Source organism: Homo sapiens, chromosome 1 (assembly GCF_000001405.40).
Source record: "Homo sapiens chromosome 1, GRCh38.p14 Primary Assembly".
Classification (NCBI taxonomy): Eukaryota; Metazoa; Chordata; class Mammalia; order Primates; family Hominidae; genus Homo; species Homo sapiens.
In genome coordinates, this window is record NC_000001.11 from 35215954 (window position 1) to 35232559 (window position 16606).

Below are 16606 nucleotides of genomic sequence, written 5' to 3' on the forward strand. Positions count from 1 at the left end.
GGCTAACACGGTGAAATACCGTCTCTACTAAAAATACAAAAGGTTAGCTGGGCGTGGTGGTGGGCGCCTGTAGTCCCAGCTACTCCGGAGGCTGAGGCAGGAGAATGGCGTGAACCCAGGAGGCGGAGCTTGCAGTGAGCCGAGATCGCACCACTGCGCTCCAGCCTGGGTGACAGAGCAAGATTCTGTCTCAAAAAAAAACAAAAACAAACAAAAAACAAACAAAAAATTCAAAGTGTAATATTTTCTTTCTTTCTTTCTTTCTTTCTTTCTTTCTTTCTTTCTTTCTTTCTTTCTTTCTTTCTCTCTCTCTCCCTTCCTTCCTTCTCTCTCTCTCTTTCTTTCTTTTTTGAAATGGAGTCTCACTCTGTCACCAGGCTTGAGTGCTGTGGCATGATCTCAGCTCACTGCAACCTCCGACTCCCTGGTTCAAGCGATTCTCCTGCCTCAGCCTCCTGAGAAGCTAGGATTACAGGCACGCGCCACCACGCCCGGCTAATTTTGTATGTTTAGTAGAGATGGGGTTTCGCCATGTTGGCCAGGCCAGGCTTGAACTCCTGTCCTCAAGTGATCCACCCGCCTCGGCCTCCCAAAGTGCTGGGATTATAGGCATGAGCCACCGCGCCCCGCCTCTTTCTCTTTTCTCTTCTCTTCTCTTCTCTTTTCTTCTCCTTTTCTCTTGCTCTGTCACTCACACTGGAGCGCAGTGGTGTGATCTTGGGTTACTACTACCTCCACCCCCCCGGGTTCAAGCAGTTCTCGTACCTCAGCCTCCCAAGAAGCTGGGATTACAGGTATGCGCCACCATGCCCAGCTAATTTTTTTTTTTGGTAAGATGGAGTCTCGCTCTTGTCACCTAGGCTGGAGTGCAGTGTCATGATCTCAGCTCACTACAACCTCCACTTCCTGGGTTCAAGTGATTCTCCTGCCTCAGCCCCCCCAAGTAGCTGGGATTACAGGCGCCCACCACTATGCCAGGCCAATTTTTGTATTTTTAATGGAGACACGTTTTCACCAAGTTGGCCAGGCTGATCTCGAACTTGTGACCTTAGGTGATCCGCCCGCCTCGGCCTCCCAAAGTGCTGGGATTACAGGCGTGACCCATTGCACCCAGCCAATTTTTGTATTTTTAGTAGAGACAGGGTTTTGCTATGTTGGCCAGGCTGGTCTCCAACTCCCGGCCTCAAGCAATCTGCCTGCCTCAGCCTCCCAAAGTGATGAGATTACAGGCGTGAGGCACCACACCCAGCCTATTTTTTCAATAAATTTTTTATTTTAGAAGAAATTTAGATTAAAGAGAAGTTGCAAACATAGAACAGAGTTCCCTTATACCTCATACCCAATTTTCCCTACTGTTAACATCTTTTGTCATAATTGATGAGCCAATATTAAATTATTATTGAATCATTATTATTTTTTTTTTTTGAGATGGAGTCTCACTCTGTCGCCCAGGCTGGAGTGCAGTGGTGCGATCTTGGCTCACTGCAACCTCTGCCTCCCAGGTTCAAGCGATTCTCCTACCTCAGCCTCCTGAGAACCTGGGATTACAGGCACTTGCCACCATGCCTAGCTAATTTTTTGTATTTTTAGTAGAGATGGGGTTCACCATGTTGGCCAGGCTGGTCTCAAACTCCTGACCTCAAGAGATCCACCTGCCTTGGTCTCCCAAAGTGCTGGGCCTGAATCATTATTGACGTAATAAAAATCAATAAAATTATTGAATTTTATTATTAAATAAATAAAAGTCCACACTTTATTCAGATTTCTTTGGTTTTTATCTAATGTCCTTCTACTGTTCCAGAATCCCTCAGAGGACACCACATTACATTTAGTTGTCCTGTCTCCTTAAGCTCCCGTTGGTTGTGAGTTTCTTGGGCTTCCTTCTTTTTGATGACTTTCATAGTTTTGAGGAGCACTGGCCAGGTATTTTGTAGGATAAACCTCAATTTGGACTTATCTGATGTTTTTCTCATGATTAGACTGGAGTTATGGGTTTTGGGGAAGAAGACCACAGAAATCAGGTACCATGCTCATCACATCATATCAAGAGTATTGTTGGTAGGTTTGTTTGTTTGTTTGTTTACTTACTTATTTATTTATTTATTTATTTTTTCTGGAGTCTCGCTCTTTCACCCAGGCTAGAGTGAAGTGGCGTGATCTCGGCTCACTGCAACCTCCTCCCCCTGGGTTCAAGACATTCTTCTGCCTCAGCCTCTGGAATAGCTGGGATTATAGGCGCCCACCACCACACCCAGCTAATTTTTGTATTTGTGGTAGGGATGGGGTTTTGCCACATTGGCCAGGCTGGTCTACAACTCCTGACCTTAGGTGATCCACCCACCTTTGCTTCCCAAAGCCCTAGGATTATAGGCATGAGCCACCACGCCCGGCCAGGTTCTTTTTATAATGAAGAAATAAATGTGTGCTTTTTAAAGTTCTGCTCAAGAACAAATCCAGTGCATTTTCTTATATATTAGCTTAGGTTGGAAGTTTGACTGCAATAACAAAAAGAAACAAAACCAAATTTCAAACATGATAGAAGTTCTTTCTCTAAAAAGAGTCTAGACAGGCCAGTTCCATTGGCTCACACCTGTAATTCAAGTGTTTAGGGAGGCTGAGGCAGGAGGATCACCTGAGGCCAGGAGTTCAAAACCACCCTAGGCAACATAGTGGGACCCCCATGTCTACAAAAAATTTAAAAAATTTAAAAAATTAATGGGGCGTGGTGGCATGTGCCTGTAATTCAAGCTATTTGGGTGGCTGCAGTGGGAGGATCTCTTGAGCCCAGGTGTTCAAGATTACCGTAACTTGTGATTGCACCATTGCACTCCAGTCTGGGGACAGAGCAAGACCCTGTCTCTAAAATAACAACAGCCAGGCACGGTGGCTCACGCCTGTAATCCCAGCACTTTGGGAGGCCGAGGCGGGTGGATCACGAGGTCAGGAGATCGAGACCATCCTGGCTAACACGGTGAAACCCCGTCTCTACTAAAAATACAAAAAATTAGCCGGGCGTGGTAGCGGGCGCCTGTAGTCCCAGCTACTCGGGAGGCTGAGGCAGGAGAATGGCGTGAACCCGGGAGGCGGAGCTTGCAGTGAGCCGAGATCGCGCCACTGCACTCCAGCCTGGGCGACAGAGCGAGACTCCGTCTCAAAAAAAAAAAAAAAAAAAATTAGCCGGGTGTAGTGGAGGGCACTTGTAGTCCCAGCTACTCAGGAGGCTGAGGCAAGAGAATGGCGTGAACCCGGAAAGCGGAGCTTGCAGTGAGCCGAGATCGCGCCGCTGCACTCCAACCTGGGCAACAGAGCGAGACTCTGTCTCAAAAAAAAAAAAAATAATAATAATAATAAAATAAATAAATACATAAAATAACAACAAAAAAAGAAAAACAAAAACAAAAGGTCTAGACAAAGCAGTTGGGGCCTGGTTGGGCAATCTGCTTCACAAGATTAGTAAGAGGTCCAGGTTTCTTCTATCCTATAGTTCTGTGTTCCTTAGCAAGTAGCTTCCCTAGCTATTATGGAAGTTTCCGTGGTTGCATAGGTATAGGTACTCTAGCACCTGCCATCACATGCACATCCACTGCAAAAGGGAGGATATACTCTTTGCTTCTAAAGACACACCTGGAAGTTGGACATTTCACTCATCCTGCTCATATTCCATTGGCCAGAACCTAGTCACATGGCCACGTCTAGTTACAAGGAAGACCGAAAAATGTGGTCTTTTACTAGGCAGCTCTATGCTCAGCTAAAATTTCTATAGCTATCGGCCAGGCGCGGTGGCTCACGCCTGTAATCCCAGCATTTTGGGAGGCCGAGGCGGGCAGACCACGAGGTCAGGAGATCGAGACCATCCTGGCTAACACGGTGAAACCCCGTCTCTACCAAAAAAGTACAAAAAATTAGCTGGGCGCGTTGGCGGGCGCCTGCAGTGCCAGCTACTGGGGAGACTGAGGCGAGAATGGCGTGAACCCAGGAGGCGGAGCTTGCAGTGAGCAGAGATCGTGCCACTGCACTCCAGCCTGGGCAACATTGCAAGACTCCATCTCAAAATAATAATAATAATAATAACAATTTCTATAACTATCAAGGAAGAGGAGGCTGCCTTTGGGGGAGCCAGTCAACAATCTCTGCCAAAGCTGGATTGCAATTATCCAGCCATGAAAGATGGACATGGAAAACCCAGAAATCTCACACTCTAGTGGCCATTAACTATTACCTCCATATTACTATCAAAAATGTCAATGTGAACACCAGACATTCCTTTCTTTCTTTTCTTTTCTTTTTTCTTTTTTTTTTTTTTTTGAGACAGAATTTCACTCTTGTTGCCCAGGCTGGAATGCAGTGGTGCAATCTCAGCTCACTGCAACCTCCACTTCCTGGGTTCAAGCAATTCTCCTGCTTCAGCCTCCAGAGTAGCTGGGATTACAGGTGGCCACTACCACGCCCAGCTAATTTTTGTATTTTTAGTAGAGACGAGGCTTCACCATGTTGGCCAGGCTGGTCTCAAACTCCTGACCTCAGGTGATCCACCCACCTCGCCCTCCCAAAGTGTTGGGATTACAAGCGTGAGCCACCACGCCCAGCCAGACATTCCTTTCTAATGTCATCTGGCTGCCCACTGCTAAGGATTTTACACCAATAATTTTCACTCCACAGAGTCACCACCTTCATGCCATTTCCACCTTTCTTTTTCCAACCCCACTCTCCATTACCCTTCCACTCAGGAGAAAAACTAAACTCTTCAACTCAAAGTAGTTTAGCCACAGTCATGCCCTTAAGGTTTCGCCTTCACTCCAAGAGGATTTTACCAAGATATTTTTCCAAAGAAATACCTTCCCTTACAAAAATGGTTTGTTTTTTGAGATGGAGTCTCACTCTGCCCCCTGGGTTGCAGTGCAGTGGCAGGATCCAGGATCACTGTAACCTCCACCTCCTGGGTTCAAGCAATTCTCTTGCTTGAACCCCTAGAGTACCTGGGATTACAGGCATGTGCCACCACGCCTTGCTAATTTTTTGTATTTTTAGTAGAGATCAGGATTCACCATGTTGGCCAGGCTGGTCTCAAACTCCTGACCTCAAGTGATCCACTCACCATGGCCTCCCAAAATGCTGGGATTACAGGCGTGAGCCACCACACCTGGCCACAAAAATTGCTAACATTTTCAGCACCTCTTCACTAAAACGTCCTCCCCACCAACAGACCCCTTGTGTTTCTTCACATGGCCACTAGGAGCATAGGCTGAAAATCATTGTTCACAGCAGGCTTCCTGGCCCCATATGAGACTATAAACATTTGAAGAGTGCCTACAGTTTTTCCCCTACATCCTTCTCCTCTCCCTCAACCTCTTCCCTCTCTCTTTTCCCACCATAGGCTGCTCACCCCCCAAGCCTTCTTCTTGCCTTTGCTTTCCCAAAACAATTCAGCAACTGCATTTAACTAAGATATAAATAACAATGGGATGTCTGGTTACTAATTTCAGAGCCATATACATTTTAACAAGAATTAAAGACTGAAGCCTAGGAAGTGAATGTCTAAATGGGAGAATTCCATGGTTCTTGGGGGAAATTCCTTCATCTTTCATATCATTCAGGCAAAAGAATGAGGTAAAAAATGAGCTTTTACTGAACAGCTTTGTATGGAAGGCTTGTATGCACTAGCATTCTACACAAGACTTTCACATGTCAGTGTATTTAGTTCTCACAATAATTATGGTGGCATTATTATGCCTATTTTGCACATTAATTGAGGCTCAGAGAGATTAAACAATTTGAACCCAGATCTGTCTGATTTCTCAAACCTGTATTGTTTCCACTATAGCAGCTGTTAACATTTATGTACAGAAAAGAAATTAAGGATTGCTACAATCTCAAGGGACCAAACTTCTAGAACCACCCCCAGACAGAATGGTTGCAAGAGATCAGTAAATTCTTTTTTTATTTATTTATTTTTTTTTCAGATGGGGTCTCGCTCTGTCACCCAGGCTGGAGTGCAGTGGCAAGATCTTGGCTCATGGCAGCCTCCACCTCCTGGGCTCTAGTGATTCTCCTGCCTCAGCCCCCCAAATAGTTGGGACTACAGGCATGTACCACCATGCCCAGCTAAGTTTTGTATTTCTTTGTAGAGACAGGGTTTTGCCAAGTTGCTCAGGCTGGTCTCAAATTCCTGAGCTCAGGCAATTTGCTTGCTTTAGCCTCCCAAAGTGCTGGGATTACAGGTGTGAGCCACTGCTTTTGGTGAGATCAGTAAATTCTGTACCTAGACAGACCCAGTCATTTTTTTCAGTGTTTCTCAAAAAGTGGCCTACAATCAGAATCACCAGTGTTCATTAACAAAAATGTGGCTTCCTGAATCCCTTCCTAGACCACCGAATCTGACCTCTGGGGGCAGGGCCTGTGAATCTGGACTTTAAATATGACTTTCTAAAACACACTAAGTTTGCAAATCGCTGCTTTAGTGAATAAACAGAAAAGAAAAGCTGTCATCCTACTTCCTACGACTGCCCATATTTTTGTAATTTTACAGCTTATTCACACTCTTGTCAGAGGCTGGGAACCAGAAAGGCTAGGATTCATTCTCCTAAATTATTCATTTAACAATTATTTATTGCATGCTTTCAAATGTGCCAGGCATAGGAAAGCAAACACATTGCTTTTGAAATGTATTACAAGGGAGGGCAAAAGACTGTTGGAAGAAGATTTGAAAGCAATGGTTAAGAAGAGATTAGTTTTGAGAAATTATCTGAATAGCTGGTCGTTCGCATGGACTATCAGGGTCCCCAGAGAGGTAGCTGCAATAATCTGGGACTACACTGGAATTGTTGGTTACACATGTGCTCTCATGTTACAGGCCTGGCCTGGAGGATATTTGTCCACATATGCTGGTCAAAGATGGAGAGGCAGTAAAACTGTTTCTCTTCTGCTACCAGTGAATAAGCCAGATCTTTAGCTTTTATCTTGCTGGGAGGAGATGCATTTCTATATTTGGAGTGGATCCAGGTTTTGTAGGGCCTGAGCTTTTGCAATTCCTGAGGCCCTTTCCAAGAAAGAGAATACAAAATTATGACTACAGTATTAAGTATGCATGCGAATATTTGTTTGGAATGAGAAAAGACATCAAGACAAATTATTGAAGACAGAGATTCAGATCCCTCTTTTCTGAGATATTCCAGGCAATTTTTCGGAAATGCTTATGCAGAAATTCTTCTTGATTGCAAACCGCTTCCTCTCCTTCTCTAGAGCAGACTACAACTCCTAGCAACACCCATCTCTCAGAGGAGCCCCTGCAAGTGAGGGGCCCTGAAACTTAAGCTCCATTAACTTCAAAATAAATCCTCCTTCCCTCCTTCTCTCCTTACAGGGCTTGGTGCTAATTTTTTTTTTTTTTTTTTTTTTAAGACAGCCCAGGCTGGAGTGCATTAGCACCATCTCAGCTCACTGTAGCCTCGACCTACCAAGCTCAAGCCATCCTCTTGCCTCAAAACCCTCCTCCACCCACTTCCTTGAGTAGCTGGGATTACAGGCTAGAGTCATCATGCCCAGCCTTGGTGCTAATCTTTGCTTCACTGGCCTTTGCTGTAGGCTAGCTTCCGTAAATATGTACAAGGCCAGTTGTTTAACTGATTTATCTAGACAGCAGTCTCTTTTCTTTTTAATTAAAAAAAAATTCTTTTTAAATGTAGAGATGGAGTCTGGCTACAGCCTAGGCTGGTCTCGACCTCCTGGGCTCCAGCAATCCTCCCGCCTCAGCCTCCCAAAGTGCTGGGATTACAGGTGTGAGCCATAGCACCTGGCCTGGGCAGCGGTCTTGACAGAATAAACTCTGATGATGGTGGGGCATAGGTAGAGAAAATTGATTACTGAATCTGAGACAGTTATCTCACCCCATTCACCCTGGGGAATCTACAAGCAGCAAAGGGAGCTAACATAGTTTACATTATTTGCTACAGTCAGGCTGTGCAAGCTGGAAAATAATATTCTTTTGGCTTAAATTTATTAATTCAGTTAGGTTGCAAGGGGTGTCTCTCCCCTGCTATCCAGAAGTTCTCATAGACTGTTATCTTTTTTTTTTTTTTTTTTGAGACAGAGTCTCCCTCTGTTGCCCAGGCCGGAGTGCAGTGGCACGACCCCGGCTCACTGCAACCTCGCCTCCTGGGCTCAAGTGATTCTCCTGCCTCATCCTCCTAAGTAGCTGGAATTATAGGCACCTGCCACCACACTTGGCTAATTTTTATGTTTTTAGTAGAGACAGGATTTCACCATTTTGGCCAGGCTGGTCTTGAACTACTGGCCTCAAGAGATCCACCTGCCTTGGCCTCCCAAAGGGCTGGGATGACAGGCGTGAGCCACTGCGCCTGGTCAACTGTCATCTTATGTGAGTAATACATACCAGGAAGGAGAATAAATAATTTCTTAGTAAACGCATTTTGTTTAATAGATAAAAACATGCTGTTCAAGAGAGGGGTAGTAAAAACGTTGAGAAGTAATAATCTGGTCCACGCACCTCACTTTAGACATGATAAAACTGAGGCCAGAGAAAGGAAGAGAGGTGTTCAAAACCATATAGACAGGCAGTAGCGTAGCCAAAATAGTATTTCTCACCCAGGCTTCTTGTTTGACCAGACAACCTTCCCAGTTCAAAATTCTGGTTTCTAATAAAAGGCAGAGGAATGAGTCAGAAAGCCAAGGAGAATAATCTGTTAATTTAGCTTTGGAGCTATTGACAATCTGGTTGGGAGATGACAGGCCAGGCTACTTCTCTGCTGAGAGAAGTTATTTTTCTGCTGGAGAGTTATTTCTGTAACTTGTATCAAAAGCCTTTAACATATGTATGTGTCCTGACCCGGAAATTCCATTTCTTGGAATTTATTGTAAGGACATAATCAGAATGAGCACGATGATGTATATACATTGATGTTTATTGTAGCATCATTTTCAATTTTTAAAATATAGTCCAGGCGTGGTGGCACATGCCTGTAATCCCAGCATTTTGGGAGGCCGAGGCAGGCAGATCACGAGGTCAAGAGATTGAGACCATCCCAGCCAATGTGGTGAAACCCTATCTCTACTAAAAATGCAAAAATTAGCTGGGCATGGTGGCGCATGCCCGCAGTCCCAGCTACTCGGGAGGCTGAGGCAGGAGAATTATTTGAACCAGGGAGGCAGAGGTTGCAGTGAGCCAAGATCATGCCACTGCATTCCAGCCTGGTGACAGAGCAAGACTCTGTCTCAAATAAATAAATAAATAAATAAATAATAAAATAAAATATAAATATATTGGCCCGGCACAGTGGCTCACACCTGTAATCCCAGCACTGTGGGAGGCTGAGGCAGGCAGATCACTTGAGGTCAGGAGTTTGAGACCAGCCTGGTCTACATGGTAACACTCCATCTCTACTAAAAATATGAAAATTAGCTGGACGTGGTGGCGGGCACCTGTAATCCCAGCTACTTGGGAGGCTGAGGTAGGAGAATCGCTTGATCCCAGGAGGCAGAGGTTGAAGTGAGCCAAGATTGCACCACTACACTGTCCAGCCTGGGAGATAGAGCAAGACTCACTCTCAAAATAAATAAATAAATATAAATGTAAATATAAACACTTTTAAATATTACATAAAACTAATATATAAATTAATATAAGTAGAATTATCAAGAAACCCAGTGATCCTTTTCCTACCAGTCCCTGCCCACTAGCTTCACTTCCCAGGATGTCAACTATATTACCTATATATTTTTTCTGAAATCTACTTTCATATCTCTTAATCATATACTGATACACTATTTTTTATTCCTCTTCCTCTTTTATTTTTATTTACTTTAAATTATTATTTTTTTTTTTGAGATGGAGTCTCACTCTGTTGCCCAGGCTGGAGTGCAGTGGCACAATCTCAGCTCAGGGCAACCTCCACCTCCCAGGTTCAAGTGATTTTCCTGCCTCAGTCTCCTGAGTAGCTGGGATCACAGGCACCTGCCACCATACCAGGCTAATTATGTTTTGTATTTTTAATAGAGACGGGGTTTCACCATGTTGGCCAGGCTGGTCTCAAACTCCTGACCTCAGGTGATCCACCTGCCTTGGCCTCCCAAAGTGCAGGGATTACAGGTGTGAGCCACAGCGCCTGGCCTTTATTTATTTATTTATTTATTTATTTATGAGATGGAGTTTCGCTCTTGTTGGCCAGGCTGGAGTGAAGTGGCGCAATCTCAGCTCACTACTATCTCCACCTCCTGGGTTCAAGTGATTTTCCTGCCTCAGCCTCCCAAGTATCTGGAATTACAGGCATGCCCCACCACGCCCAGCTAATTTTGTATTTGTAGTAGAGATGGGATTTCACCATGTTGGCCAGGCTGTTCTCGAACTCCTGACCTCAGGTGATCTGCCTGCCTTGGCCTCCCAAAGTCCCAGCCTTGTTCTTCTTTTTAGAAACAGGACCTTATTTTGTCATCCATGCTGGATGGAATACCATGGTGTAATCCTGGCTCACTGCAGCCTCAACCTCTTGGGCTCAAGCAATTCTCCCTCTTCAGCCTCCTGAGTAGCTGGAACTATAGGTACACACCATCATGCCCAGCTAATTTTTAAATTTTTGTGTAGAGATTGGGGAGGGGAGGGGGGAATGGATCTCACTATTTTGCCCAGGCTGGTCTTGAACTCCTGACCTCATGAGATCCTCCAGCCTTGGCCTCCCAAAGTGCTAACATTGTAGGCATGAGCCATCGCTTCCCAGCCATGATTTCTAAACTTTAAACATTATTCATTGACTTCTTAAGGTAAGTGATAATTTAGCTCCTAACACCCACCACTCCCTCTTCCTCTTTTCATTCTCCCAGTATCACAATTGTTCGTTGAATCAGTAATCAATATTTGCATTATTATGGTTTCATAAGCATTATTTACTTCTATGCCAATGAGTATACTATGCAATTTAGTTTTTGTCCTATTGTATTTTCCTACAGGTATTGCTTCACTTTTAAATTTGCTTAGTTTCCCTTATTCATACGATCAGCTTTCCTTATGTGTTCCACGATACACTGTATGCCTATCAATACTATTTTTCAACTGATCAAATCAATTCCATTTCCCTGCCCCCCACCGACATTGCTGTTCCATAGCCCGCTACTACTACATTCTGCAGTAAGAGCTAGATGTCTAGGTCTGCAACAAGATGTTACCACTGGACTTCTTTTCACCATTTTCTTGTGTTGTGTCTTCTGCTTCCTTGATCTTATTTCATTATCTTTGTAGGATTATTCCCTTATTTTACTGCAGCACATCTCCCAGTTGCTTCTCTATTGAAGAGAGTTTCTAAGGTAAATCTACTGAATCTTTATAAAATGAAAATGTTTTGGCCAGGTGCAGGGGCTCACACCTGTAATCCCAGCACTTTGGGAAGCCAAAGCAGGTGGAATATGAGCTCAGGAGTTCAAGATCAGGCTGGGCAACATGGCAAAACCGTGTCTCTACCAAAAAAAAAAAAAGAAAAAAAAATTGCCAGTTATAGTGGTGCATACCTGTAGTCCCAGCTACTGAGGAGGTTGAGGTGGGAGGATCACTTGAGCCCAGGAGGTGGAGGTTGTGATGAGTCAAGATCCACTGCACTGCACTCCACTGCACTCCAGCCTGGGCATCAGAGTGAGACCTTGACTAAAAAAAAAAAAAAAAAGAAAAGAAAAGAAAAAGAAAGAAAATGTCTTAATTCTATTCTCACACTTACTAGTATGGCTAGTTGAAGAAAATTAGATTGATCAGCCTGTTTCTCCCCCTCAATGTTTGAAAAGATTTGTTCGATTGTCTTTCAGCTTTCAATGTTACATTCTGCTTTCAGAATGTCATCTGTTTTCTCTCTCTGGAGACTTTGAGGGATTTTTTTTTTTTAATATCTTGCAGTTTGAAATTTTTAGATGACGTGCCTTAGGCTGTAGAGATGGGGTCTCACTGTGATTCCAGGCTTTTAAAATTCATATGCTGGGCCCATTGGTAAGCTCTTTCAATCTGGAAACAATTTATCTTAAAAAAAAGTATATAAAATGTCAATTGTTTACAAATTTCTTGACACAGAAATATTAATAATATGGCTTGATTCCCTTAAACTTTTCTATATTACGTTATAAAACTTTCCAGAGTTTCAAGATGTAGACTAGAAAAGGAAACATTGATTGAGATTACGAATGACCAAAGACATACTGAAAACTCTTTAAAATTATTATATCATGGCTCATGCCTGTAGTCCTAGCACCTTGGGAGGTTGAGGTGGGTAGATCACGAGGTCAGGAGATCAGGACCATCCTGGCTAACACGGTGAAACCCTGTCTCTACTAAAATTAAAAAATTAGCCGGGTGTGGTGGCGGGTGCCTGTGGTCCCACCTACTTGGGAGGCTGAGGCAGCAGAATGGCGTGAACCTGGGAGGCAGAGGTTGCAGTGAGCCAGGATTGAGCCACTGCACTCCAGCCTGGGTGACAGAGCGAGACTCTGTCTCAAAAAAAAAAAAAAAATTATATTGATGAATCAGTAACATCAAGTGGAGTTATAACACAATGATACCACAGCCCACGTCAAATATACCCATTTCCTAATTTATCTTTTTCTCACATTCTTGTCATGTTAATTAATTAATTGATTTTGCATTTCTTTGGTTCTTCAGATGTGTACATGTCTTTTTTTTTCAAATTCTTAAAACCATTTAATTTGATGAGATCCTATAATATATTAGTATCTTCCATTTAAAATGTTTTGAGTTTTAAAGACTGGAGCTTAGAGGAATCTTAGAATCTTGCATTCTTACATATTACCAGAGTGAAACAATTCCTTTGAATATTTGATACCTCACTTAATTTTGAATATCTCATAGATTTTGTCTGACTTGCACTTACAGCCTAAAAGATCATTCTAACTTTTTTTTTTTTTTTGAGTTGGAATCTCACTCTGTTCCCTGGGCTGGAGTTCAGTGGCACGATCTTGGCTCACTGCAATCTCCACCTCCCGGGCTCAAGCGATTCTCCTGCCTCAGCCTCCCTAGTAGCTGGGACTATAGGCACCTGCCACCACGCCTAGCTAATTTTTGTATTTCTAGTAGAGATGGGGTTTCACCATGTTGGCCAGGCTGGTCTCAAACTCCTGACCTCGTGATCTGCCACCTCAGCCTCCCAAAGTGCTGGGATTACAGGTGTGAGCCATTGTGCCCGGCCTATTCTACTAACTTTTGAGTGGTAGTGTTCCCTGGGGGAGTATGAAAAGGCTCATGAGATCAAACCTGGATGATAAAGTCAGAAGGCTATGGAGAAAAGACTAGATTTCCCTTGTAACAAATTTTCTCCAGGTATTGGTAGCAACAACTGTTAGGACATCATAATACTAGTATTGTTTATTAATAACCATTCTGAGATTTGTCTAAATCCCCTTGTTGTATTTTATAATGCTTCCCTATTCAAATCTGTTCACTAAATACGTACTAAGGAAAGGGAAGGCTTTCCCATTTATTGTGGTCCTCCTACCGGATAGAAAGTCTTGACTACCAATTGTCCAGGTTCTTGGCACATTGAACAAAGAATGGAACAAAATGCACAAACAAAGCAGCAAAAGAATGAAGCAATGAAAGCACAGATTTATTGAAGTGAAAGTACACTCCACAGAGTTGGAGACCACTGGAGCAAGAGCCCTGATTGTAATGTTCCTTGGGATTTTTATTGAATTAAAAGAGCATGGTAACACCCCTAAGTACCCTTTAGAGACCTCTGATTTGTATAGGTTATATCCTACACAAATGAAGACTTCTGCCCAGGACCAGTCAGAGGGAGGATTCTGCCCAGGACCAATCAGAGGCATCCTGCCTGTGATGCATATGCAAATGAAGGTTTCAGAATAGACCAATTACAGACATTCCTGTTCAGGATGTAGGGGAGGAGAGGTTCAGAAAGTGGGGGACATTTGGTCCCTCATTACTTTGTTGTGGAAAGGTGGGGTTTTCCTCTTAGTCCACTTCCAAGAAGGCAACCATGGGTTGGCCTTAGGCTTCCTGTCTCCAGACCCTATTCTCCCACCTCAGTCCTACAATGTCCCTGGAACTAGGCTAGACATCAACAGATATGATCTTACTGAATCTTCCCAGGAACTTACAAGATGGGTGTCGTTGTTCCTACTTTACAGATGAGGAAACAGAAGTTAGGAGAACAGCTAACTTGCCCAGCTCACCCAAGGAGGCACTGTGCTAAGTATGCAGCAAGGGAAACAGGTTACCTGTTTCCTGTAAAAATCACCCTGGGAATTTTTACAATCTAGTGAAAACACAGACACACAAATGACTAAATAGAGAACAAAGAAAATAAGTAGAAAGGTAAAGGGACAAATAAAATGCCCAGAGAGCCTACAGAAAGGGACATTTTATCCTGACTTGGTGAGGGACAGGTGTTTGTGCTGAATCCTAAAGGACAAGTAGGATTTTTTTTGTTTTGTTTTTTGAGACAGAGTTTTGTTCTGTCACCCAGGCTGGTGTGCAGTGGCGCCATCTCAGCTCACTGCAACCTTCGCCTCCTGAGACCAAGCGATTCAGGCACCCACCATCACGCCTTGCTAATTTTTGTATTTTTAGTAGAGATGGGGTTTCACCATGTTGGCCAGGCTGATCTTGAACTCCTGACCTCAGGTGATCCGCCTGTCTTGGCCTCCCAAAGTGCTGAAATTATAGGTGTGAGCCACTGCGCCTGGCCCAACAAGTAGGATTTTAACAGAATGAAAAGGGGTTCCCAGAATGTGGCTTGAGCAAAATCATAGAAGTGTGAAAGTGTATTTTGTGTGCGGAGTACAACAAATGTCATTGTGGTTAGAACACAGAGAAGGCAGAACAAAAAGGGGTAATACCGCCAGATCATGAATGGTCTTGAAGGCCATGTTGTGGAGTGTAGACTTGTTTCTGAATGCAGGAAATATATAAGCAGAAATGAGGACAAAAATATTATGTCAATGCCTGGTTTAGAGCAATGATTCTCAAGGATTCCTGATTCTGGAGAATCCTTGAGACCTTTTCAGAGGGTTTATGAGGTCAAAACTATTCTTACAGTAATGATGATAATAGTTATACTACCTTATTTGCCTTTAAAAATTGTGATAAAAATAACAAAATGTACCATCTTTGTACATTGAAAAATTTTAAATTTTATTTATTTATTTTTTTAGAGATGGGGTCTTGCTATGTTTACTAAGCTAGGGTACAGGCATGATCATAGTGCACTACAGCTCCAAACTTCTGGCCTCAAGTGATCTTCCTGCCTCAGCCTCCCGCGTAGCTGGGACTACAGACAGTATTTGTTGCCAATAATAAATCCAAGCTTTCACATAAAATTAGAAGTTTGGAAAAGTTGTATTTGCCATCATGAGGTTGACAGCTTTGTGATACTGAAGGTTTTTATTATATTAATAAGGTTGATTGTGATATTAATGAATAACACTTTTAAACATCTATAATGATATATGCACCACTGCATCCAGCCTACGTTTGTACATTTTTAAGTGTATAATTCAGTAGTGTCAAGTAGATTCACATTATTGCACAACAGATCTCTAGAACTTTTTTCATCTTCCAAAACTGAAAATCTATACCCATTAAACAACTCTTCATTTTCCCCCTCTGCAAGCCTCTGGCAGCCACAATCCTACTTTATCTTTCTGGGTATTTTACTACTTTGGACACCTTTTAAAAGGAGCCTTTCTGAACCTATTCTGGTTTGGGGCTTCCTTGCTACATTTGTGTTTTGTTTTGTTTTGTTTTGTTTTGAGACAGTCTTACATTGTTGCCCAGACTGGAGTGCAGTGATGTGATCTTGGCTCACTGCAACCTCTGCCTCCCAAGTTCAAGTGATTCTTCTGCCTCTGCCTCCCAAGTAGCTGAGATTACAGGTGCCTGCCACCACGACTGGCAAGTTTTTGTATTTTTAGTAGAGATGGGGTTTCACCATGTGGGTCAGGCTGGTCTCGAACTCCTGACTTCAAGCAATCCACCTGCCGCGGCTTCTTAAAGTGCTAGGATTACAGACTTTTTTTATTATGCTTGGATATACAGCATATACAGATATATAGTTTATTTGAGATTGATAAACTTTTTTAAAAAAATCTCATATAATTGGAATCATATAGAAGCTGTCTTTTTGTAGCTGGCTTATTTCACTTAGCATAATGTCCTCAAGATTCATCCATGTTGTAGCATGTGTCAGAATTTCCTTTTTAGGCCAGACACAGTGGCTCATGCCTGTAATCCCAGCACTTTGGGAGGCCGAGGCGGGTGGATAACCTGAGGCCAGGAGTTCGAGGCCAGCCTGGCCAACGTGGAGAAACCCTGTCTCTACTAAAAACACAAAAATTAGCAGGACATGGTGGCAGGTGCCTGTAATCTCAGCTACTTGGGAGGCTGAAGCAGGAGAATCACTGGAACCTGGGAAGCAGAGGTTGCTATCAGCCGAGATGGCACCACTGCACTCTATCCTGGGTGACAGAGCGAGACTCTGTTTAAAAAAAAAAAAAAAAAAGAAAAAAAATTCCTTCTTTTTAAAGTCTGAGTAATATTCCATTGCATATATATACACCACATTTTGTTTACCCATTTATCTGTGATGAA

The 16606-nt window shown here is 43.2% G+C and overlaps 1 annotated feature.

The window, feature by feature from the left end:
• Positions 1-597: an enhancer, noted in NCBI's record as "H3K27ac-H3K4me1 hESC enhancer chr1:35681555-35682151 (GRCh37/hg19 assembly coordinates)". NCBI's record gives its function as "activates a minimal SCP1, AML or CMV promoter by ChIP-STARR-seq in primed H9 embryonic stem cells {active_cell/tissue: H9 hESC(primed)}" and the evidence as "EXISTENCE:reporter gene assay evidence [ECO:0000049][PMID:30033119]".